This window comes from Homo sapiens, chromosome 1 (assembly GCF_000001405.40).
Source record: "Homo sapiens chromosome 1, GRCh38.p14 Primary Assembly".
Taxonomy (NCBI): domain Eukaryota; kingdom Metazoa; phylum Chordata; class Mammalia; order Primates; family Hominidae; genus Homo; species Homo sapiens.
The window spans coordinates 192,158,462-192,185,815 of record NC_000001.11 but is presented as its reverse complement, the minus strand read 5'-3'; the positions used below and the strand labels follow the sequence as shown (position 1 = coordinate 192,185,815).

Here is a 27,354-nt window from a genome sequence, read left to right as displayed (position 1 = left end):
TTCAGTCAGAGCTTTTATTGTCAGATAAACTTAACTGTATGAATGAAGTTAAAAATATTTATTACTACAAATGATCTAAAGTTTTCACATTTTACATTTCAACTAACATTAAATTTCCAAAGCCTAATGCATGGCATTTTTAAATACAAATATTTACAGACCATGTAACACACATTAAAAATTAAATATCTCTTTAAAACAGTGACATATAGATGTATGAGTATAATCTTATTTGAATAATAATTACTTAAGGAGATTTGCTTAACAAGAATATAATCAATGAGATAACACTTTCTGAATATGAACCAATGTGGCAGATGCCCAAATCGCTAGGGCCTTAGACTCCTTGCTTCTTCCCCTCATCTCATTTCTGATTTCTACCCCAATTCTAAAGGGCCAAACATGAGACGTCCTGGGAAAAACCTTCTCTGGTTTTTATTCAAGCCATTGATGGCCTAATAGTTTAGTAGCAAGTTTTCTTAGCCGGTGATAAGGTAGTCTACTTAGTTCCCTACCTGGAGATATGCAAAATCTGGTCATGTTTCTGTGACCAACAGAAGTACTTTGTATAACTGGGTACGTCCATGTTCACTTAGGAATGAGTTCAAATGTGGATCTTATTCTCAGTCATTAATCTAGATTATATTTAATCTGAAGTTCTGTAGAGATGAATGTGTCTTCACAAAAGTTCCTGTTGCTGGCTTATAACTAGAGGTGATATTACTATTCTTGGGACAGGGTTAGTAGTAACCCAATAATAAATGTTCTTCATCTCCCATTGTAAGAACCAGATCACTTCTACACTATTACCAAAAAAAAGAGAACATTCATTATGAAAAATGCTATCTGAACATTTGGATATCTGAGTATTATTATGTTTATATAACACATATTATGCTGCTTTGGTAAAAAATCCCAACTAGACTTTTGTTTGAACTTTTGACAACTTTGCAAAAGCTTAACTTTTACTTAACTCTACAATCTTATAAAACATTATTACTTTTTTTGTACTGCCTTTTGATTAAGAAATAAGTTTTTTTTCTGATTATAAATGGAATGACATCAAATAGAAGGTTTTACAGAATATACTGGCAGATACTGTATGTATTTTGTTAGCAGAAAGTTTTGTTTTTACATTTTTAAAATAATTTCACATGACATATTTCAGTTTAAAGGATGGGACCAAATCTTAACATAAACATGCGATATGTTAGAAGCAGATGTATAAGTTTGTCATAAAAATGAGCAAAATCAATTTTCTTTATAACCAAATGGCAACATCTGATTGTACATCTTGGAATTCATTGCAGGTAAATGAGCGTGATCGTCTCCTAAGATTTGTTGGTCTCTGAGGTCTTCCTTCCATCAAGTCTAAATAGATGTCAGATTTCAGAAAACGTGTATAACTGTCTTGTTCCATGAGCTGATACACTCTGCTTTGTGCAGCATCAAAACTGTGGAGGGTAGGTTGAGTGATGCTGTTTGTAATGACTTCTTTTGTGTGAAAATCAAGGTTAACCTGGATAAACAGAAAAAAAGTGTGATTATAGTTAATATGCTTATATAAACAACTTTGAGAAACAGCACAGGACTGATGCAATGTTGGAGTGGGCATCTTGGGCTTAGAAGCAGATATAGTTTGGATGTGTGTAGCCTGCCCAAACCTCATGTTTAATTGTAATCCCCAGCATTGGAGGTGGAGCCTGGTGGGCAGTTATTGGATCATGGGGGTGGATTTCCCATGAATGGTTTAGCACCATCTCCTTAGTGCTGTCCTTGCGATAGTGAGTGGCTTCTGGCAAGATCTGGCTGTTTAAAAGTGTGTGACACCTCACTCTGTCTCTCTCTTTTGAGCCTGCTTCTGAAATGTGAGATAACTGCTCCCCCTCTGCCTTTTGCCATGATTGGAAGCTTCCTGAGTTCTTCTCAAAAGCAGATGCTATTAGGCTTCCTGTATAGCCTGCAGAACCATGAACCAATTGAAGTTATTTTCTTATAAATTACCTAGGCTCAGATATTTCTGTTTTTTTAGCATGTATCAAAAACATTATTCTTTCTGTGGCTGAATATTCCATTCTATAGGTACACCACGTTTCATTTATCCATTCATTTGTTAGTAAACAATTGGGTTGTTTCCACATTTTGGTTATTGTGAATAGTGCTGTTGTGTCTGTTGCAGTGCAAGAATGGCCTAATATAGATGCTTGGGTTTTTTCCTCTATTCTTGACTAGCATTTCATCTGTTTCTTCTCTCCTGGAATTCCTGGTCCTTCTTACTCTCTATGAATTTAGAATAATGCAATATTGAACTGCTAAGATCATAGAAATAATTAAAGCATAACTCATTTTCAAAATAGGTAACTAAACCTCACAGAGGTTAAATTATTTGAGTCATGGGAAAAAATGAGCTGGGGCATATTTGAGATTTTAATGTGGGGCTTCTCTTTATTCCAGTGCTCATTTCATTATGTTATGATGATTTCCTCCAAGCAAACATATGCTGTAGTATGAATGTCTTTTAAAGATATAAAATTCTTTAATGCCTTGTATCATAGCACTGCATATATATCTGGTTCTGATGGTGGTTGGGTTTTCAGGTAGGGGCTTTCTTTCCCCTTGTCCATAACACAATACAACTAGCTGCCTTTTTATAAAAAAAACTATGTAAAACGTTGGTTTTGGGAGAAGCACTATTTATAAAACACACATTAGAAACTTTGAAGCTCTACTTAATTAATATTTTAGGGCAGTCAAGTCATATTTGCTAGTCTTATACCCATTTTAGCAATTGTATCACACAATTACTTCACATTGAGTATGGAGTAAAAGAAAATCTCAATTGTTTTCCACTTGAAAACTTGCCTAGTTAGATTTACCTCATCTCTCTATTGTAAGATTTTTCTTTTAACCTGTCTTTAAAGTATCCCTAAAGCAAACAAAACTCCGTATAAATAGATGAGCCAAAATTAAATTGGTATATGATGCAAACTTCTTGATGTCCCTTGACTTCATCACTTATAAAAATCTTTAGTTTCTATGAGAGGTTGCTTGTGCGAAAGTGATTAATATGAATAAGTGAATGAATCTAAATGTTGCAATTTATCATATTCACTCTTAGTCTAGAATGAAAATAGCTCTGAAAAGTGACTCTAATTGTACTTTTCCTTCTGTGATAGTATCTTACAATGTCTTCCATTTGTATGGATAAATATTCATAAATAATTATCTTCCCTCCAGCAACATCATGAACATTCTGGTAGAATGTATGAGGGTACAAATTTGATAAAGACAGATTATCTAAAAAATTTAGCTCTGAATAGACATTTCTCAAAAAAAGACATAAAGTGCCATTTTGGACAAAATGTTCAACATCATTACCCATCAGGGATATGCACGTAGAAACCATAATGAGATACCAACTCACTTCGGTTAGAATGGCTTTTAATGAAAAAGACAAAAAATAACAAATGTTGGTGAGGATGTGGAGAAAGGGAAACTCATGCATTGTTGGTGGGCATGTAAGGTAGTGCAGCCATTATAGAAAATAGTATAAGGGTTCCTCAAAAATTAAAAATAAAACTATCATACGATCCAGCCATTCTACGTCTAGGTATATATCTAAAGGAATTGAAATCAGCATGTTAAAGAGATATCTACACTCCCATGTTTATTGCAGCATTATTCACAGTATCCAAGAGATGGACTCATCCTAAATGTCCATCAAAGGATGAATGTATAAAGAAAATGTGGTACATATGGAACACTATTGAGTTATTAAAAAACAAAGAAACTCAGTCATCTGTGGCAATGTGAATGAACCTGGAGGACATTATGTTAAGTGAAATAAGCCAGGCACACAAAAATAAATACTACATGATCTGACTTGTATGTGGAATCTAATAAAGTTGCTCACATAGAAGTAGAGAGCAGAATAGTGGTTACCAAGGGCTAGGTAAGGTAGGAAGGATGGGAGGATGGAGAAAGGATGGATCAACAGGTACAGAGATAGATAGGAAGAATAAGTTCTGGTGTTATATTACCTAATAGGTGATTATAGTGAATAATAATACATGGTATATTTCAAGATTGCTAGAAAAGAACATATTGAATATTATCACCACAAAGAAATGATAAATGTTTAATTTGATGAATATGCTAACTCTGATTTTATCATTATACAATGCATACATATATTAAAACATCACACTGTATGTCATTAACATGTGTAATTATTACATGTCAATTATAAATGAAATTAATAAAAATAAGTTGGAAAAATATAATTCACAATTTAAAAATAAAATTATTAAAAAATTTTGAAAGCAATTATGCATTTTTACAGTTATCTTTACTGTACCTCTTTTGGGGCATCAGTCTGTATAAATTTCTCATATATTGCTTTTGCTTTAAGGTGAATTTGTTGAGGTCCCTTGCTTTTCTTGAAATCTTCACAGGCTATCCAAAATTCAATATTTTCTTCACTGAATTCAGTTTTAAGAAATCTGGTAAAAGCCTCTAGTCCATCTATCAAGAAAATAAATAATATAACTATAAAATGGTATTAATGTTGGAAACATTTACTGATTGATAATAAAACATAATTGCAAATATTAACAGAAAACCTACATCTTCCCTCTAATGCAGCACCGCAGCACACATCTTGCACAATATACCTGAGAGACCCTCATGTCGTTTTCACAACTATAAAAGGAAAGTATTATTCCCACTGAAATAAGGCCAGTATCTCACTCAGGCTTAAGTTTGACTTTAGGCCTAAGAGTAAGAGGGACCCCCTACGGTGGACCTCACTTTATGTCTCTTTTATCCGTTCCCCTCGCAGAGTGTGAGGGGTGATTCCACAGAGTCAAGAAGCCATTACAGTTGGAACGGATCCTACTTCTACACCATGCCTTTGGTATTCAGGATCTTGAGGTTCCCTTACTAAAAGCTCTATGCTTCCAGCATTTACACAGCCTTTTCTCCAAGTCCATCTACCAAAAACACACTGACTCACTGGTATTTATACCCATAGGCCCGAGTATGAACAAGGCTTCAATTTGCAGGCTGGAGTGTGTACTCAAATGTGCAAAGAGCTGCTCACAGTGTGAAACCAAACCATGGGGGAAGAGAAAAAGGTGGTAGGTCATGTTTATAGAGTGGAAACGTTAAGTGTCTGAAAATTTTAAATTCAAACATAATCTTCCAAGTGGCTTACAAAGTATATTTGTCAAAGCAGAAGGCTAGCATATATATTTTAAAGTTATTAGTTTCTATAGCTCCTAAGCATTTAGACATACAGCATGGGACCTCTTTTTCACTTTTTGTCTTGCCCCATAAATGTTAGGGGCAGGTATTAAGTCTTGTGGAAGACTGTCTGGGCTCAAATTAGTGTTCATTTAGTTACTATGTGGCCCTGAGCATATTACCTTTTCTTTCTGTGTCTTAGTTTTTCAATATTTAAAATTAAGATAATAATGATCCCTACCTGGTAGGGCTGTTGAGAGAATTAAATGTGTTAAAATACACCAAGTGTTTGGAACAGTAACTGGGACATATTAAAAACTCCATAAGGGTTTTAGTAATGGTGGTTGTGATGATGATGGTGATCTTGATAATTTTTATTTAAGGCTCACTAAGATGACATTTACATAACTAAAAAAGTGGCAGACTTTGGATTCAACCTTAAGACAATGTGACTTCAAAACTAGACAATGTGACTTCAAAAACGCTCTTTCAACTATCTTTTTTAACTCTACTTATTTTTAAGCCTTGTAAAAGTTAAACTTTTTTATTTTGAGAAAATTATAGATTTACATGAACTCGTAGGAAGTTCCTAGGAGAGACCCCGTGTACTCTTTATCCAGTTTTCGCCAGTGTAACAACTTGGAAAACTACAGTGAAATATCACAGCTAGGATAGTGACATTAATTAATATAATCAAGATACAGAAAGTTACAAGTGTAACACATGTTGCCCTTTTACAGCCACATTTACATCTCCCCACATGTAATTTTTTTTAACTCCAGGGAACCACTAATCTGGTCTCCATTGCTATAATTTTGTCAATTCAAGAATGTTATATAAATTAAATCATGTAGTATATGTTGTTTTAGATGTTTCTATTTTCCACACAGCCTGATTCTCTGGAGATTTATTCAGGTTGATGAATGTATCAATGGTTTGTTTCTCTTTGTTGCTGTATTATATTCCATGATATGAATATACTATCATTTGTTTAACCATTCTGCCATTGAAGGAAACATGGGTTATTTCTTTTTTTTTCAGTTATTACAAATAAATCTGCTATAAACATTTGTGTATAGTTTTATAAAATGTTCACAAGTCTTTATTTATCTGGAATAAATTCCAAGGAGTGAAATTGCTTGGGTGTATGGTAGTTGCACTATAGAAATGTTGAGGGAAGGGAAATATGTTCCTAATGGATTTTTCAGATAAACTTTCTCAGAATAAATCACATTTGAGTTGGATTTAAATGAGTTTTAGCAATCTTTCTTTAGATTCACTCTCACTCTCTAGTTATAGCCCATTTCTCTTTCTGCTCTCCTTATGTAAGTTATTGCATAAGGAAATATCATGAGTCCCATCTGGACTTCCCACTTGGCAGCATCTGATAATACTGACCCCCTCCTTTTTCAAATACTCTTCCACATAGGATTGTAGGATGGCATATCTCCTAGTTCATACTGTGTGATTGTTTGTTTGTGTGTTGTCTGTTTAGGTTTAACTCCCTCTCTTCCCCATTAAATGTGCTATTTGCTAAAATTCTGTCCTTTGCTTTCTCCTTTTCCTTCTTCTTTCCTTTATCTTCCCTATTTGCCCATCTTCTCTCTTGACATTTTTCCTGAACTCCTTTTTTCTGAACTTCAACTGTACTTTATGCATATTGTTAATACCTGTAGACAAAATGAGGCATTAGAAACAATTCTGAAAAACAAAGTTTCTTTACATGTTGATATCATTAAAATATTTTAATCTTCTTACAAGAAATTATTTTTAAAATCATAACTTCAAATATTCCTGTAGCTACTGACATATCTTTTCTCCTTACAGATATAAAATCTTTGATTAAGTTTTCTACACTTAGTCTCTTAATCCCCTCTATCTCATTTACTTTCCAACACACAAAAATGTGGTTTCCATTCAACACTTTACTTAAATTATTTTTGCCAAATTGACTTAATGTTATAGTTAGTGAACATTTTTTTTCCATCCATATGTTATTTCATCTCTCCACAACAGCAGGCACGGTAGAGAATTGCCTGTAATTCTCCTCAATGGCAGCTAAACTCCAGAGTTTCCTATTACACCTCTGACTATTGCATCCCCAAATCCTTCTCAGTTTATCCTTCTTCATCTTTCCCTTAAACTCATTTCCTGAAAAATTACTTCAACACCCAAATACGATCAATATGCAGATGATTCTTAGAACTTATCTCAAGCCTTTTTCCTGAGCTCCAAGTTCATACCAACCAACATGTGAAAAACATCATTGAATTGACCACTGAATTAGTCATATGAATGGTACATTTATCATCTTTACCCAAAACCTTCCCTGCATACATTTCCCATTTAATGACGCTATCCACTCAGGGATATAAACGGGAAACCTGGCATTTATTCTCAGGGATATTTGATTTTCCTCTTATCTCACACATAGCTGATAATCAAATCTTAAAAAAAAATTCCCCTTTCATATATCCTACATCTGTCTTTTTATTTTTGTGCCATCTGTAATTACTTTTATTTAGACCGGAACTATCTCTCACACAAATTATTATAAAAACCTCCTAACTGGTGACCCTGAATTTAGGTTTTCCTTGTCTCTTTCTCCATCCTCCAAGACTATTATCCACATTCTCATCAGTAATATCTTGCTGCAGTACAAATTTTATTATGATTCTTCACCGTTTAAAATTTCCCAATAGCGTTCATCTCTTCCTACTATGTTTTTACACTGATTTAAGCTCCACTCACAGAGAAACACGTATAGTTCCATTCGTGTGCCATGTTCCTGAATCTCTTAGTTTTAGCTCCTGTTGAGAATACTTTTCCCTTCCTATTCTAAATCCATAAAGCAATTTTATTAATCTAACCCATACAGCCTATATTCATTGAGGTTGAAATTACACTTCATCTTGTCCGGAAAGACTTCACCAATCTCTAAAGAACGAGTTGGGTGTCCTTCATATATGGCCTTCTACTGTGCCGGGTAAACTTAAAATATTGTACTGCAGTTGCCTGCTAACTTTTGTTTTCCAGGCTACACTGTAACATATATAAGACGAAGACCCTTGTCTAACTTGTCACCAAATTTCCAGTACCCAACATGAGAAATAACTCAATAATTATTTAATAATACTAAAATAAATTATCAACAAATAATTGAATTAATTATAAAAATACAGAATTATATTAAAAAAACATGAAACACTTCTAGGAAATATTTTGTGTACTAAATGAAATATCAGACCTATCATATTTACAAGAGATATGGACAATCAGAGCTGGTAACATAAAAAAGCAAAAAAAAAATCCACAAAATTGTGTCCTATTGTGAATATGGACAAAAATATGTAGTTAAAAATATACTAATTTATTTAAAAAGTTAATTCTTAGCTTGATGACATTAAACATTTAATTAATATTCTAGTTTCATGCTTGGCAAGCAAAATTTTTAATACATTTTGGATGCTTCTTTGGTCATATGAAAAGGTAGAGAAATGGCTATCAGTGACAGTTTTATTTCTGAATCTGTATTATTAGTTTGGTATTTAACCCCATGAGTTTTGCCAATGTGAGCCTTCTACTGAGAGTTGGGTCCTTCCTGGCATGCTAACAAGATGACAGCATCAATTTTGAGAACGTGTGAAGCTAGAGTTTGTGGTAAATGCCAGTCTATATGACTTTGGACAAGCTCACAAACATTTCTGGAGGTACACTGCTCTCTGTTGGATATCACTATGAGTTATTGAAACATATAATGTATTCCTTACTTTGTTCAACTATTTTATTAAATACTTTTGTTTGCATCCTGAACTCCCCACTGAATAACTCATTAATTCATTGAAACAATATTGATCACATGCTGTGTTCCAGACACTGGTCTAGGTACCAGAGACCAGCAATTTTAGAAGTGGACAAAGCCCTTGATTTGATATTTAATCTATAGAGCACTACCTTAAATAAAAGAACATATTACTACTAAACTATTAAGAAGAGGAGGGTCATTACAAAGTAATGGGAACCAGGCTTGTCCTCCTACCACAAATAACTATAAAACTAGAAAAAATATTGAGGCAGTAGTTTCCAAGCAGAATACAACTGGCAACAGATGAGAAGAAAAACACATGAAGTGAGTGCTAGGTTTGCTCTGGCTTTCTACCTGGGGGCATTTTTAAGACTGGTACGCATGAAGATGGAGGCTAACCATAGTAAGAAGTCTTGCTGAATTGAGGAGGCAGAGATAAGAGTTTGGGCATTATGATGTATTTGGAATTTGTGGGTCAGGCTACTGAAAAAAGGAAACATGCAGAAGGGTGTGGGACAGTTTGAGTGACCTTGTACTAACTTGTTCTCTCTTTTTTGTCACTTGTGTTTCTCAAAAATAAATGTACAATGTGCTGACAATGCAACATCCTGAGATAAGAGAAATTGACCAGAATAACCTTGCTGTGTTCCTTTGCCACCCCAAAATAGGATCTTCTTTGACACTTTAGCCCAGGGATACCTGTATTCCCTCGGACATAAAAACCAGGACAGGCTGCTTTCTGGGATCCCTCGGCTGCCATGCAATTGGAACATCATAGACAAAATTTAATTCACTCTTAGCAGCTTTCCTGAGTGTTGAGGGGGAAGCTCATTATGAATACTAGGCTTCTATTATCCCTTGGTGCCTATTTGCAAGTACTAAAGTTGCTTTGCTTAACTAGTTGTATCAGTGTTCTATCATAGTGGATTTGTGCAAGTAATCAAAATTGTAGCCCAAGACATAGGGGGCTTAATTGGTAACCAGTGCAGAGTGAATCTGCTTTATAAGGGGACCCAGAAGCCTCCATGCAGTTTTCCTGCAGAGCCTTGACTGAGGGCTAAGCTGCACATGAGCAGGGCAAATTTTGTGAAGTCTAGAAGAAGACAGATGCTATGGGACTGAGGTTAATGGAGATAGGAGAGTTTTGATAGGTTTGGATGACTTTGGATTTCTGGCTCAGCCGTAGAAGAGATACCAAAGAAAGTTCGTGTTTCTGGTATAAACACTATGTCTTGTCCTACTACTAAGAAAGGTCTTGTCCTCATACTAAGACAATTCTGAGATATACCAGCCTTAAAGGATCAAGCTGATCAGAAAAAAAATCAAGAGGATACAACAGTGATTTAATTCACTTCCAGAAAAATGATTCAATACTCTATAAGGGAAGACCACATAATTTAGACTCCTATGTCTTCCTCCATGCTCACATACAAAAAAAAAATTAGTGATATAAGGAAATTTTCATGACTTATTATCAATATTTTGTTTGTTGATAAAATATCAATAAAAACTGATAAGTTATCTAAAATGTTGGAAATAGCAGACAAAAACTTTAAAAAAGCTCATATAAATTTTTTGAAAAACACAAAGGTTAAAAAAGACCTAAGACAAAATTTAAACTATGAAAAGTAATTAAGTTGAAATTCAGCAAATAAAATGTAAAATATTAAAAATAAAAAAATATTGGATGGTCATGGCAACAGATTAAAGACTGCAGAAGGGATGGATATGCTAGCAGACAGTTGTATAGAAGATAGATTTACTTAATCTAAATAAGGTAGGAAAGGAGGAAAAGAAAACAACAACAAAATGAGGAAACAAATAGAAAATAAATAGTAAGATGTTAGATCCAATCCCATATATATCAATGATGAGATAACATTTAAATGAGCTAAACATTCCAATTAAAAGTCAGAGATTATCTGACTGGGTTAAAAAGTAAAAACAGACTACATATTGGCAACAAGAGACACATTAAATGAAAAGTATCAGGAAGATGAAGAAAACGGATAAAAATGTTACACAGTGCAGAGGTTAAGCATAAGAAATCTGAACAAAAAAATCTTCACATGGCTTGAAAAAGTAACTTCAAAATAAAGAGTATTTCCGTTTTGTAATTTTTAAGTGACCAATTATTACTAGTACATAACAATCCTAAACATATATGAACTTCATTTAGAGCTTCAAAATACATGAAGCAAACTCATAGAACAGAAGTAGAAAAATTCACAATTTAGGTATAGATTCTAATTCTGCTTACTCATTAATTCATAGAAAAAAGTAGACCATATCAATGACAATATATAAAACTTAAACATCATTAATTCGACTGAATTGAAAAATTACAAAATGATCTACCAAACACATCTTTTCAAATGCACAGGGAATATTATCCCAGATAAACTCTGTGTTAGACTCATAATATGAGCCTAAATAAATTTCAAAAAGCTTGATACCTTACAGATATGTCCTTTGCCGGCAAGGGGTTTGAATTAATAATTGACACTAGTAACATAGATAAAAACAAAACAAAAACAAATATTTGAAAATAAGCACACAATAACCAGTGTGTGATAAATATGTAGTAAACACAATAACCTACATGTTAGAGAAATCACAAGGCAAATTAGAAAAATATTTATACTTGAATTATAGTGAAAGTACAGCAGATCAAAAATTTGTGAGATGCAGCTTAAACAGTGGTTAGAGAGAATTTTATTGCACAAAATGGTGGTCTAGTAAAAAAAAAGAAAGAAAAAAAACAGGAAGGGTATAAAAATTAAGATCTAGGTTTCCACCTTAAGAAACTTGAAGAGCAAATTAAATACATAGTCAGTAGAAGAAAAAATAAAAATAAAAACAAGAGGAAAAATATATGTAACAGAAAAACTACAGAGATTAACAAAGCCAAAGTTGGTTCTGTTAAAACATTAATAAAATAAAACCCCTAGCAAGAGTCTTTCACATTAGGAAGCAAACCATAAATATTAGTATAGATCTTACATATATTACAAACAAGTGAATATTATGAATGACTTAATGCCAGTAAATATAATTTATATGGCATAGGGAAATTGTTTAAAAAAACAATAAACCTATACCCAAACTGACACTTGAAGAAGTGGAAGATCTGGTAGCCCTAATTCAATTAATAGATTTTATAATAAAACATTTCTCTCCGCCCAAAAATACCTGGGACCAAATTTAGTAAATTCCATCAAACATTTAAGAAAAAAATGTATTTTAATCTTACATACTTGCTTTGAGAAAATTGAGAGGAGATGAACACTTTCCACCTTATTTTATGAGACGAGGATAAATTCTAATACCAAAACTTGACACTCTGCCCCATAAAAAAAACAAGTAAAGACTAAGACTAAGAAGGAAGTGAAGAAAATTACACAATATCTCTCATGATTATAGAAGCAAAGATTCTACACAAAGTATATGTTTTAAAATCCAGCTATTTATAAAGAAGGTGCAAATATTCTGGCATTATGGCTGAAAAAAGTTGAAATAAATGTTGTAGCTTTGTCTGTTCAACTCATTTTAACTTAGATTACCACATTTTTTTAAATGTTTACAGCTGTCTAGAACTATTCCTCATGGTTAGTGACTATTACTAATATAAAAAGTTCCATATAAAATGAAACAAGAATAATAAATTTCTATTGGTAGAAGTATGGTAATAACTAAGAGGTTTTGCATTTATAACATGTTTAGAGGTTTTGAAGGTTAAGTGTTACTTATATACATTACCTCATTTAATTTTTATAACAGATACATGGAATATGTCTTATATTCATTTTCTTAGATGAGAAAACTGAGATTCAGATAAGTTCAATTGCCCCAGATTTTATACATATGTGTATATATATATATTTATATATATATATATATATGCATATTTTTCTCAGGAAGGCATTGTTTCCTTTGGTAGGCAGAGAAATAACCCTCCAAAGGTGTTCATGCCCTAATCTCCAGGAACTGTGGGAAAAAAGGAACTAAATATAGTTCAGGACGTTGAGATGGGGGAGATTATCCAGGTAGAGCCAATCTAATCACGCGAGTCCTTAAAAGTAGAAGAGGCAGAAGAGTAGATCAGAGAGATGTGACCTAAGAAGGACCTGACTCTGCTGCTGGCTTTGAGTATGAAGTAGATGGTCATGACCCAGGAAATGTAGTGTATTCTGGAAGGTGGGTGTCTTAGTCTGTTTTGTGTTGCTATAAAGGAATACCTGAGGCTGGGTAGTTTATACAGAAAAAGGTTTATTTTACTCACAGTTCTGCCGGTGGTATAAGAAGCCTGCTGGCATATGCTTGGCTTCTGGTGAGGGTTTTGTGCTGGGTCAAAATATGGTGAAGACCAAAGAAGTGGGCATGTGCAGAGAGGGATCAAACCCGAGGGGCAGCCTGGCTTCATAAGAACCTACTCTCGAGGGAACGAATCCATTCCCCTGAGAACTAATCCAGTCTTTCAAGAGTGAAAACTCACTATTGCTGAAAACTGCACCAAGCCAATCCTGGGGGAACTTCTCCCATGATAGAAACAAATCCCCTAGGTGCCCCCTCCCAACATCACCACATTGAGGATCAGATTTCAACCTGAGATTTGGGGTGAGGGGAGAAACAAACTACATCCAAACCGTAGCAGTGGGAATGAACCTCAGTTTGCAGCCAGCAAGGGAAGGAAGTAGTTGGTCTATAACTGCAAACAGCTTAATTCTGCCAGCAATCCAAATGAGCAGAAACGTGATTCTTCCTTAAACCCTCCAAAAAAAGAATAGCCTGCTGACATCTTGATTTATTTTGATCAAACCCATACTGGACTTCTAACACAACTTTAAGATAATAAAATTGTGTTGTTTTAATCACCGTAGTTGTGGTAAGTTGATATAGCAGCAACAGGAAACCAATACAATCCTCAAATTATTCTTTTTGTATCACCATTTATTCCTCCTTTATATAGACCTTATCCTCTTTGTCATGAAGTGTCATTTTTTAATGTTGTAAGCAATCTTTTTAATGTATTAGAGTTCCAGGAACTTACTGTTTAGGAAATCAGTAGTTAGACAAAGATATGACAACCTATAGAAATTCCTAAGCTTTATAGTATGGAATGATTTCAGCCACTACCACAAGAAAAGGATGACATAGGTCTCTTCTGCACCACGGCCTCTTCATTGGGATGTTTTCACCTGGACAAAGGGAGATCCTGCCATTTCTTTTCCTCAGTAAATTTACCATGAGCAACGGATGTTAGCAGTTACATATTAGTTAATTAACTAGAGAGACAAGGGAAGGTTGGGCTCAAAAAGAATTTGACAAGGCATTGTAAAACTGACAAGCAACTTACAGAACTTGTCTGCAGTCCTGAAATGCTAGTAAGATAATTTCTAGTCAAACACAACTGTCTGATGAAGGCCTTACTGCTAAGTGATTCTTGAATGAGTCGGCAAACTCTGACCACTGAGAAGCAAGAGTGATCAAGTCGCTCTTCTTTCTCTAGCTCAGTTAGTGTATTCTTTTCAAGATTGATTTCTCACACTGAGCATATGCTTTTCTCAGACTGTAAAAGGGAAATATAAATGAACAATGGTTCTTTGAGGCATTTTGATACATTGTACATTTCCTCCAAATACCTACAAATATATAGGTTTTCAGAGTAAAGCTAATGGTCTAGCTACAAAATAATTGCCAAAGTGAACAACAGGGCATCAGATGTGCTGGTTGTACTGTGGCATATTAAGCACATAAGCACCCATAGGGATTATTGTTCCTTAGAACGTTCCTATTTGATTTTCTTTCCCACAATGCCTTTCACCACCTGCATTTGAGAACTTGGACTTGTATAAAAGCAGTTTGTGTCATGAATTGTCCAAGACTATATTCCCTTAATTTTTGAAAGCTAAATTGCAATATCCTCTCAAGACTTCAAGTAAACCTGGAGCCTTATGATGACTTTAGGAAATAAGCTGAATAAGTATTGTTTGGCTGCTGATTGACAGCAGCTTGATAATTTATTTCTTTTCCATTATGTAACTGGAGGGATGGTTTTATTACTTAGTCTATGGTTTTACTTGTCTTTTTTTTTTTTCTAATTTTGCCCCCTCTGTCTTCTGTAATGATCTTGGAATAAAATAAGGAGACTAAGACAAAACATGCTGACATGCTATGTTAGTTCATTTTGCATTGCTATAAAGGAATACCTGAGCCTGAGTAATTTATAAAGAACATAGATTTATTTAGCTCATGGCTCATCAGCTCTGCTTCTGATGAGGCCTCAGGAAGTTTTACTCACGGAGGAAGGCAAAGGGGAAGCCAGTGTATCACAAGATAAGAGGCAGTGAGAAAAAAGGCAGGTCTCTGGCTTTTGTAAACATTCAGCTTGCATGTTAACTAAAAGAATGATAACTCGCTTATTACTGCGAAGACAGTACAAAGCCATTCATGAGGGATTCACTCCGTGACCCAAATGTCTCCCACTAGGCTCACTTTCAGCTTCAGAGGTCACATTTCAGCATGACATTTGGATAGGTCACACAACCAAACCGTATCACATGCCTTTCAAACCCTACATTGTAATTGAAATATAATTTGAAATGTGGGGCAATGTTTAGGTCTGTAAAAGAAAACCACCACAAAAAAACAATAATCTATGCACCAACTGGCCTGAACTAAACTTTCGGCAGTTAGCCGTAGCCTCTGCCCAGAACTACTTAAAACAAATTATTCTTGAGAACTTTCCCCTTAATAAATATTTAAGATAATGGAAACCAGCTATTTACCACCTATACTTACTTAATCTTTCAAATTGCTAAAGTATTTGTCCTTTTTCTAAGTTAATATCCATTTTTTTACTAGACTTAACTCTAAAAAGCAGTCCTTAATTTATCTCTGATAACTATCTTCAGAGCTGATAGATTCTTTCTAATTTTTTAATAGAATTCTAAAATGTCTTATTTCTTATTGCAGGGTCAGTATCTTAGTATGCTTTGCTTAATAGTTGCTATAAAGTGGATTTCTGAAGAGAATTTCTTGGCTAGATATTAAGAAAAAACTGGAAGCAGGACAACAAAATAATTGTGAGAAGATTTTCAGGTAATCCTAATTAAAAAGAAAACAAAAAGTAGTCATATGGAAATGTGCCTTCTGCTGATATTAAAAAGCATACCATTGGGTGTTATTGATCTGTTTGTCTATGATATAGGTCCTGCCTTTCCCCATTTCACAAAAAGAGGCATTTTATCTTGTCCTTCCTTGTTCCTCAGTTACTATTTAAATAGAAATTAAAGCAAAGTTGGCAAAATAAAATGCCAGTTACATTACAAGGAAAGAACAACCTGTTTCAAGGTCATATTTCCAAAGAGGAAAGAAAGTATGTTTTATTTGGCTTATAAATAAAGTAGCACTGACCCAGTGAAAGCATAAACGTTTTCGATTTTAATCTACTGCACTCTAGCCACATGTTATGCATAAGCGTGGATTGATCAGTTTTTAAATATCAAATTATTCCTAAAGTGAGTTATTAAATAATTTTCATGATTTCAGAAGAATATGACCATTACTTCTATAACCAATCAGAATTATAATAAATTTTTTGTACTGTCAGCTAAAAGAAAATGCCCAGAAGCCAGATAGCTGAAATTGTTATTTATTAAAATAACTTTTTAACCTATAATTACTGATTTTAAAAATAACTTAGTCTGAACCTGAGAACTGTGTTATGTATTTAAGCAGTATTTACAGGTTAGGAGTTTTGAGTGTTCGTTAAGGTCTTAGCACATTGCTGTATGCCTTTTATTGGCACAATTCCATTTAATTTTCACATCAGCCCTACGGAGTAAGTCTTGTTATACTCATGTTTATAGATGAAGAAGTTGACGTTCAAAGAGTTAACTTGCATTAAATCTTACAGACAGTAAAAGATAGTGTAAGTGCTTGAACCCAGGTTCATCTTATTTAAAATTACAGGACCTTTACAACTAAACTGCCGTAAAGAAAAGAAAGTCCTTACTGTTGAGGAATATGGAGATTAATGGGCAGGACAGGCATGTATGAACCAAGGACTGAGGAAGCACAATTAAAAGAGTGACTTATTCTGTTCAAAGTAGCAGAGGAAAATCAACTTGCATAAAATTCAAATAGAAGTCTTCCAGAAAATAACATAAACATTATTTCAAATAGAGTCCTTCACTAATTCACAAGCATGAGTGTCGACTCTGTGCCATCTGCTGCGCTCTGAAATATTATGCAAAAGCCCTTTGTTACTATGGTTAGTCTTGTGCTTGATACAGACATTCAAAGTGAAGTCAGCGTACTAATATCAAGAAAAGTGCTATGTATGTTCTGAGTGCTCATGATGCATTAACTAAAGTGAATGGATTTTGTTGGCATAATATGAATATAATAGTAAAGCAAAAATACTAATTCAAGAAATGAATAAAGGATGAATGAGAAAGAAGTTTATTAATTAAAATTTTAAGTAAATAACTTTTTTAAAGTAATGTGCAATGCTCTACAAGATTATCCCAGCACATTAGTTACTTCCTGTTTCTCTTACTCACTTTGGGCAGCTGCATTAAGTCAGTTCACAATGGAACCATTTCTCATACAGAGGCAGTAACTTACTAAACAGTCCTTTAGAAGGCAGCAGTGGTGAATGCAGCTGCCAAAAGTGCTTGATAGAACCTGGGATTAGAATTCACACTGGAAGAAGCTGGCTCAATGTGTCATACAAATATGAAATGCATGTAATTGCATGTTTCTAAATTGAAACTCTGGCATCTGTTGGAGTATTTTTCTGATGCCAAGAAACCAAATGAAACAAAAAGTCAAGAAAATCTGAAGTTGGAAACCCAAGTACCATATAATATCCGAAGTAATAAGTTGCATTGTTTCTTCTGTAACATTTGGCTTTGTAGCTCTGATTTGCCATAGAATGTGGTTTCTTTTGCCATAATAAATGATTTATGTGATGAGTTATAATTAGGACTGGGTTTTATTTATTTTTAATCTTTAGATAAATTAAGAAATTGAGTGCTTGTTGGACAGGCATGGTGGCTCATGCCTGTAATCCCAGCACTTTGGGAGTTCGAGGCAGGTGGATCACTAGGTCAGCAGTTCAAGACCAGCCTGGCCAACATGGTGAAACCCTGTCTCTACTAAAGATACAAAAAATCAGCTGGGTGTGGTGGTGCGCTTCTGAAATCCCAGCTACTTGGGAGGCTGAGGCAGGAGAATCGCTTGAACCCAGGAGGTGGAGGTTGCAGTGAGCTGAGATTGCGTCATTGCACTCTAGCCTGGGTGACAGGGTGAGATTCAATATAAAAAAAAAAAAGTTGAGTGCTTGTGCTTGTTATGGGTTAGCTTGAGTTGGAAATTTAAATTTTTAGAGCGCTGAAATTCTTTATCTTGCAGAAAATTGGTAACCAAAAATTAGGAACTGTAACTTGAAAAGCCACAAGGTGAAAAGTATAAGAAAAAGTACTCATTTCCTCCCCCAAAAGTGAAGTATGCATTTCCTTGTAGTCTTTACTCAAACTTAGTAATAAGTATTTTCCAAAGTATAGTCAGTTTCTATTTTTAAATCCAGGAGGTGCAATGACTTACATATTCTACTTCCATCCTACATGTTACAAATTGTTTTCAGAAGTTACTTAGAACCACAATTCAGAGTGTAAAAAGTTCAAGTAAATAGGTATTAATACAAAGGTTAAGACTATTGTAGTTTTTAGCAATGACTGGATAAAAGGGTACACACGGAAAAGGAACAGTTACGTAGTAGTGGAAAGATTGTCTAATTGATAGAAATTCCCCTCATGAGATATAACATTTTCATTCAGATAAGCAATTATCAACAATGTGAGCTGGTTAGAAAATCTCTTTCTATAAGTCAGCCTTCCATATTTTAGGTGTGCACTTACAAAACCCTGCAAAACTTTTGATAAGGTTTACCATGGACAAAAAATGTTCAAACTCTACTCTGTTCTCTTTTTACAAGTCTTGTTCATCCTCCTCTATTTCGCATCTATTACAGATATCATTATCTTCCTATTATAATAAAAATGAAATCTAGAAATCTTTGGCTCATCCTTCTTTTTTGTTTCCTATTCCTTCATCTTCTCACTCAATAACATACATACACATTGATTAAGTCACTAAGTTTATCCATTTTTTTTTTCTAAGCGGGTCCTTACTTTGAATTTAGCTTTTATATAACAACTTTGTAGGTAGTCTATATTACATGCATGGAATTTTACCTTTCTAACCATCAGAGTTATCTTTTTAACACACAAAGGCTTCCAAAGTTTGTTCCCAACTTAATTATATAATGTGTTTATTATTCTTTGCCTCAGAGTAAACTTACTGCTTTTCCAGATCATGTCAAAATCTCTTAGTACTCTGTTTCCTTGCCTTTATCTCAAGAATTACCTTTTCTTTTGCCTGTTGAATTATTGCATACATCTATTTAATCTCTTATAGTGATCTTCTAATGATATACTGCAAGTTCTATATAATATTTTAAAAAACTGTTTAGCAAGTTATTTTAGAAGTTATGTGTTATGCAGCAGTATCATTTTCCTTTCAAACGTGCCTACACAGAGCCATACACATATATGTATACAAATAAAAACACATATGTGTGTATAATATATCTCTATATTTTATTGGCATCAACTGATTTTATAAGTTCAAACTGATAAAATTAACTTTTATAAAGCCAGTGAGAAGACTGATAAAACTAAATTAAAAATTTATGATTATGAATGACAGATATAGTTTGATATTTCATTTTTGATTTATTACTACTTTTTAAATTTAAATAGCCCTTAGAAATTACTGGTTTATATACATGTAGTATTAAACTACAAATTTTTATTATTCATTTTGAAACTTCAGACAAATTTGACAATAAATAGAAATAGCAGAAAAAATAGACTAATAACTCCATTGAACGAAATAAGAAACAGAATTTAAATTATTGATGGACTTCATTGTGTTAAAATTTACTATGTAACATTACTGAGATCATTTTCTAAAGTATTTTATTCTTCAATAGATTTAGATTTACAGAAATATTTTGCAGAAGGTATCAGGGGAACCAGACCCCAATATTTCAACATAGGTTCTTTTCTATTTTCCCTAAGTGTCGGCCAGTCTGAGAAATAAAGGGAAAGAGCACAAAAGAGAGAAATTTTAAAGCTGGGTGTCCAGGGGAGACATCACATCGGCAGGTTCCGTGATGCCCCCTGAGCCACAAAACCAGCAAGTTTTTATTAGCAATTTTCAAAGGGGAGGGAGTGTACGAACACAGTGTGGGTCACAGAGATCACATGCTTCAAAGGCAATAAAATATCACAAGGCAAATGGGCAGGACAAGGTCACAAGGCCAGGGCAAAACTACAATTTCTGATGAAGTTTCAAGTCCCACTGTGCAAGCATTGTCGTCGATAAACATCTTAACAGGAAACAGGGTTCAAGAGCAGAGTACCAGTCTGTCTAGAATTCACCAGGCTGGAATTTCCTAATCCTAGCAAGCCTGGGGGTGCTGCAGGAGACCAGGGCATGTTTCATCCCTACCTACAACGGCATAAAGCAGACACTCCCAGAGCGGCCATTTTAGAGGCCTCCCCGGGGAATCCATTCTTTCCCCAGGGCTGTTAATTATTAATATTCCTTACTGGGGAAATAATTCAGTGATATTTCTCTTACCCATTTTCGGCAATAAGAGAAATATGACTGTCCTGCCCGGGTCCCAGGCAGTCAGACCTAATGGTTATCTCCCTTGTTCCCTGAACATTGCTGTTATCCTGTTCTTTTTCAGGGTGCCCAGATTTCATATCGTTCAAACACACATGCTTTACGAACAATTTACACAGTTAACGCAATCATCACAGGGTCCTGAGGCAACATACATCCTCAGTTTATGAAGACAATTGGGTTAAGAGATTAAAGTAAAGTCAAGCATAGGAAATTATAAGAGTATTGATTGGGGAAGTGATAAATGTCCATGAAATCTTCACAATTTATATTCTTCTGCCATAGCTTCAGCTGGTCCCTTCTTTCGGGGTCCCTGACTTCCCACAACAAGAAGGTAGTACAGAAGGTAGTACAGATTTAGAAGAAGGTAATATGCCCCCGATTCAATTTCCCTGTTATTAATATCTTATGTTGGTATGGGACATTTGTTGCAATTACTGAAACAACACTGATGCATAATTTTGAACTGAAGTTTATATTTACTCATTTTTTTTTTAATTTTAAAAAAGTTAAACTGTGTGACTAAAATTAGAATAAAATAGAATTATCAGAACACCTCCCTGAATCATTTGATTTCTGTGGAATAGAGCAAAAATCAGTGACCTTTCTGTTTTGGTCTCATGGATATATTGTCTGTCACCCTAAGCCACCATCCCTTTTCAAATTGTATTTTTCAATAAAGAATTGTTTTGGTTTTAATTCCCTAACTAAATTATATTGTTTAACGCCCCATTCCTATACTGATTCTTTGCTTGGATGGTCTCCTTCTGTCCTTGTTCGGCTAGTGAATTTTGATTAATCCCCTAAAATCTAGGGTAAAAACCATCCATCCTGTGGTTTCATTCCTAAAACTGCTAATAATCAGTTTATGATGGTTCTAATATTAACTGTTTTTGTCAAATTGAATACCCAAATTTCCATTGTATCTGGTTTGATTTATCACTTAATTTCTCATTTGAATAAACTGAGTAAATTTTGTTTCCTTTTAATGACATAACATACAGAATTTGAGAAAAGTATGCATTTTATAAAATTTTATAAAAGGAAATTTGATAAAATTTGATAGAGCAATGTCTTTCTTGAAGTGTGTGTGTGTGTAGGATCTTTCTCTTTAAAAAAAAGAAAAAAAAAAAATATATATATATATTCACACACACACTTTTCTACTAGAGTCAAATAAATAGAAATAAACTGAATTTAACCACTGCAAACAAAAGGCTTGTTTTAGGTGATTATTTTAAGTTTGACAATTTAATATTATTATAAGCATTGTAATAAAAATAATTGGATTAGGGGAGATTGAGTAAAATAATACTGGTAATATAAATTCTGTGAATTCAATATAATATATTTAGCATTGTAATCATGACAAGTGATAATATCCAGTGGGTCAGTGCTGATTTCTTTAAATGTGTCTCTTCTTGATTTAAATTGCAGATAGTTTACTGTTCTTCAATATTACCAGTAGAGAAAAGAGAGAGTAGCAAATTCGATTTTGTCCTTTTGCTTTTTACCACTTTTAAAGAAGAAAGATTACAGAATGCTAGGTGAGGATTTTCTGTAGGACTAATCATCCTGCTAAATCTTTCTATGCTTTGAATGAGTAATGAAAGTATGATGAAATTATTATATACTAATTCATTAAGTGAAAGAAATCCTGTCTATATGTTATTGTCAATTGAAATTTTCACCCTCTAATTGATCATCATCCAGTTGTAACTAGACTGGAAACAGAAAAAAAGATTATTAAGCTGGTTAGTAAATATTATTTTTTATAATAGCAGCAATCATTGACATTTCTGTAGTGTCCAAGATTTATTGGTTTCTTATTCATCATCTCATTTAATCCTGACAGAAATCTATTTCTGTTGGAGCTAAAAACATTATCTTCATTTACAGTCGAGGAAGCTGAAAGTCAGAGTGATTAGGAAGCTTAACTAAGATTATACAACCATTTATGTTTTAGGAGAAAACTAAAACTCGAATTTCACTGGAACTCTGGACTAACTTCTAGAAACAAATTCAGTTATATTCTTTTCCAGGGGATGTGCTAAGTTTAGGAATCCACAGATGAAAAGATGTATGTTTCCTTCTAATAAATACTTATATTATAAAGAAATTAATCCCAGTCCTCTTTTTTTGTTGTTGTTGTTTTGTTTTCTTTTCTCCTTCTCTGACTGGTGAGGAGTCTAAAGGGCAGTGCAGTACCAAAATGTTGAATATAAGAGGAGATTTTAAAATAAACACATTTGGGGGACATGAATTATGGAAGCAAGTTTTACACAAGTTATTGTAATTAATCTATAAAGAGCATATCTGAAACTGAACCAAAACAATCGGAGCAAGAAAGTGAGTACGGGGCAAGTTTGACATAGATTTGGCAAGAATTTTAACAATAGTTTAGAAATTGTTGTATACTGGGGCTGGGCATGATGACTCACGCCTGTAATCCCGTCACTTTGGGAGGCCTAGATGGGTGGATCACTTGAGGTCAGGTGTTCGAGACCAATATGCTAAAAATACAAAAATTAGCCAGGTGTGGTGGCCTGTGTCTGTAATCCCAGCTACTCCAGAGGCTGAGGCAGGAGAATCCCTTGAACCCAAGAGGTGGAGGTTGCAATGAGCTGAGATTGTGCCAGTGCACTCCAGCCTAGGCTACAGAGCAAGACTCTGTCTCAAAACACAAAAACAAAACAAAACAAAACAACAAACAAACCAAAAAAACAAAAAAGAAAACAAACAAAAAACAGCAAAAAATGAATTGTCGTATACTGGAAATGAAGAAAAGTGAGTACAGTAGTTGAGGAAGGCTGTTTAAGTTACTTTTCCCAAAAACAGGAAGTGATAGTAGCTAGTCTTAGAGTGAAATATAAGGAATACAAGTTAAACTTTGTCAGCACAAACTTTCTTACCATAACTCTCCATTCTCATTGATTACATCCTTAACTAAGTTTAAGCCTTGATTTCTCTACCTATAAATATTACAGTTCAGAGGCAGCCATCTACTTTCATTGGCAGAGGGAAAGTTTTCAGGTATCATCTACAGATATAGAATTTTTATATCACTAAATTCAGAAGAACATGAAAAGGTCACCAAGACCTTATAAAGAGTTGGACAATTAAGGAAGGGAACAAAACAAAACAAAAATATGTCAGAAAAGAAAAGTTGTTGTTACATTAAATGGAGCATAGTATTTGAGGGTGAATTACAAATATTCCACTCCCAACTGTCCTGGCAACAGGAATCCTTTCTTCCAGTAGACACCTTAAAATTGTGAAAGACACGGGCAACGCTACAAGGAGTAGTTAGAGTAGTCTGGCTAACCTCATCTTGGAAGGGTCTGGGAAGAGCTGGGAAATGATTGTATTTCAAAGACTAAGGTGAGAAACTGGACAAGTTTAAAGTGCAAAAAAAAAAAGCTGTGGGCTTGAGGTGGATGTTTGGTAATGATAAAGCATTGCTTTTTTTGCAGACTCTGACAAGTTCAGGGTGGAGAATAATAAATCTGTGATTACCTAGCTGCATCACCTGCTCAGTTGAGTCTTTCTATCTGAAAGAAAGCATAAAATGAATACAGACAACAAAGTTCACTCACTTGCTACCTTATGTAAATTGACCCTAAAGAGTGGCAATCCAGGGAGCCTGCCTCCTAAGCCATGCTATATTATAACAGTGTTCCAGAGTCAAATGAGGCCTTGATGCTTGTCCTCACCCTCCATCTCACAGACAAAGCTCCACCTTAAATACATACTCGATTCTCAACATTTCTACAAAATTCTGCTTTAAAAATAGACAATTGATATGAAGTACAGAATGAAGAATTTATAAATTTTTTTTAAAACTGTGTTTATGGAGCGGGGCGCAGTGGTTCACGCCTGTAATCCCAGCACTTTGGGAGGCTGAGACGGGTGGATCACCAGGTCAGCAGATTGAGACCATCCTGGCTAACACGGTGAAACCCTGTCTCTACTAAAAATACAAAAAAATTAGCCGGGCGTGGTGGCGGGAGCCTGTAGTCCCAGCTACTCGGGAGGCTGAGGCAGGAGAATGGCCTGAACGGAGGCGGAGCTTGCAGTGAGCCGAGATGGCGCCACTGCACTCCAGCCTGGGCGACAAAGCGAGACTCCGTCTCAAAACAAAAAACAAAAACAAACAAACAAAAAAAACTGTGTTTATGTGGGTTTCCTGTATGTCCATCGAAAGAATTACTTGATATTTTTAATCCTTGAACAATGAAACTAACATGAATAGTTCGTTAATCATGAATTTGATAAAACCGAAGATTTCATTCAAAAATCGGAAAAATTTAAAAACTGAAACTAGCTACAGTATAAATAACTAATATTTCATCCACAGTAGGTAATTCTAAACAAAATGAGAACTTTTAAAAAAATTTCCATTATTTGACTTTTCTATTACTTAGTTCTGTTGATCAGAAAATTGAATTACTGAAAATTAACAATCAGACAAAAATTTTGTGACCTATTGTTTCGGATAATTACATGCATAGTTTGTGTAATTTTCCATTAAGCACACAAAGTATTTGGTGAAAGTACCACTAACCTCTATGGGAAAGCAGTTTGTCAAATGATTCACCCCATTTCACTGCCTCTTCAGGGGAGACTCTGTACAAGAAACAAAATGTTTTATAATGGAGTGTGCAGAAAGTCTGTTTATGAATCTGTTCTAACATATGCTATTTTACTGCTCTTTTCAATTATATTTCACAGTTTCTCCTTTGATTATAATATAATGAAAATTGCATTTACATTAGAAACTTTGAAAACATTGTTCAATTTTCTTTTGGAATTTGTCTGTTGAATAATGTGTTGAAATAACATTATTTTTTTTCTCATGGATATGTGAGTTTTATTTTTTAATTAAAAATTAATCCTTTTTTAGGTTAAAGGGCACAGATAACAAATATAAAGAAATCAGGTCAACTATCTGTTTAAATTCAGCAAGTAGAAAAAAACTAAACTCACAGTATCTTTCAGTTAAAAAAAAATTATACTGCAATTTCCTTGAAGCTGTAACCACACTAGGCTGCAAATTTTTTTTTTAAACGGATACAGGAAGTTTGACTAATAAAGTTTCAAAGGGATAAGAAATATAAGATATTTTAATAGAAAAAATATTCTAGAGATGTTGGTAATGTGGAGAATTGAATATATTTTCTCGGATCTTTTTTATTATACTCTAATTTGGAAGAATTTGTATGAAACTAGTATATAAGGTTTTTGCATTTTCTTTTTGAATTAAATAAATGCTAAGTATTAAAAGACATTATTTGTGCTTTACTTGCTATAATGCGTGTGTTTTTTCAAACTACTGAAGAAAGAGATGAATATCTCTCTGCTATGACAATATTGCATTGTGAAAACTCTTAAATTAATGAGCATTTTATCAGGTTATAAGGAGTAAAACATGTCATTTAAAACTGACAGGTATATAATTTTAAAAGAGCAGCTTTAAGTGTTCACGTGATTATTCAATTCAAGCGATTTAATTCAAGTGATTTAATTTTATGAAATATTTCTAGTCTCTTCAAATGAAATTTCTAACTTTCCTTATATTGCTGTGTAATTTTCAATAAATCAGAAATCCCTAACTGCATTTTTCTTAAATCTTTAATGATAGAATCAGCAAAATCTTCCTCAAAATACTGAAAATTTATTCACCTTGTTTCTTTGGCCAAGTGCCCAGATCTACTGGAGCGGGTGTCTTCATGAAACTCAGGTTTCTGCACAAGAAGACTTAGTCTATTTCTTTTTTCCTTAGCTCTGTAATAAAAAGGCCTTCATGTCAGGACAATTTAGATGACAGTTAAAATCTCTCCTGCTGACTACCAGAAAATTTTGTAGTTGGTAAAAACCCACGCCCACCCATACCCACACACTCATGAATCCCATTTAAATATTGTATTTGTGGAGGAATTAGGGTAACATACGAAAATGTTTCTCCTTTTGCTCACCGACAATCAAGTATTTGAGATTATATTTCAATAAAGATTGCACTAGTTCCTCTATGTGGCTAACATTATTACACTTTTTTTTTAATGAGAACACTTTAGATTTCAGTTTGTTGTTTAAACCTAAGAAATAAAAAGGTGTTTTTTTTTCCCAAATTATAGCAATACAAACAATATATTTTCCACCCAATAGTTCAAAAACAAGAGGTAATGAATCTTCAACCTCAATTATGCTTTTAAAAGTATAAGGCTGACTTAAAATTGTACAATTTTACCTGATTTTGGCTTCTTTGCTTGTTTCTTCTTTTCCTGAACCATGTATTAACTTGAAAAAAGTTTTTTCTTTTGATTCACACATATTTATTTGAGAAAAGAAAAGCAATGTTGTTTCCATCTTCTCTCTAAAATGAAGAGATGTCTAATTTATTACATCCTTCCCTAGTTCATTTATTAATACTATTCCATACATATACATAGTAGAATAAAAAGTTATCACAACTCTTACAGTAATGTTTACAAAAAAGAAGTCAAGAGCTGCGTTTCTTTCTGTCTCTGCAGAAATGCAGAACT

General features: G+C 34.0%; 1 protein-coding gene across 1 annotated transcript, besides 1 other annotated feature; it reads right to left on the bottom strand.

Annotated features, from left to right (window-relative positions):
- On the bottom strand, positions 1 to 27,354 carry RGS18 (regulator of G protein signaling 18). The gene is made up of 5 exons (NM_130782.3): positions 27,060 to 27,354; positions 26,495 to 26,596; positions 25,377 to 25,438; positions 4,358 to 4,524; positions 1 to 1,519 (listed from the first exon to the last, which is right to left on the bottom strand). The coding sequence occupies exons 1-5, from the start codon at positions 27,176 to 27,178 to the stop codon at positions 1,262 to 1,264; spliced, it is 708 nt and encodes a 235-aa protein (NP_570138.1). The 5' UTR covers positions 27,179 to 27,354; the 3' UTR covers positions 1 to 1,261.
- Positions 20,511 to 20,711: a silencer, noted in NCBI's record as "peak603 fragment used in MPRA reporter construct". NCBI's record gives its function as "represses an SCP1 promoter by STARR-seq MPRAs in K562 erythroleukemia cells {active_cell/tissue: K562}" and the evidence as "EXISTENCE:reporter gene assay evidence [ECO:0000049][PMID:32103011]".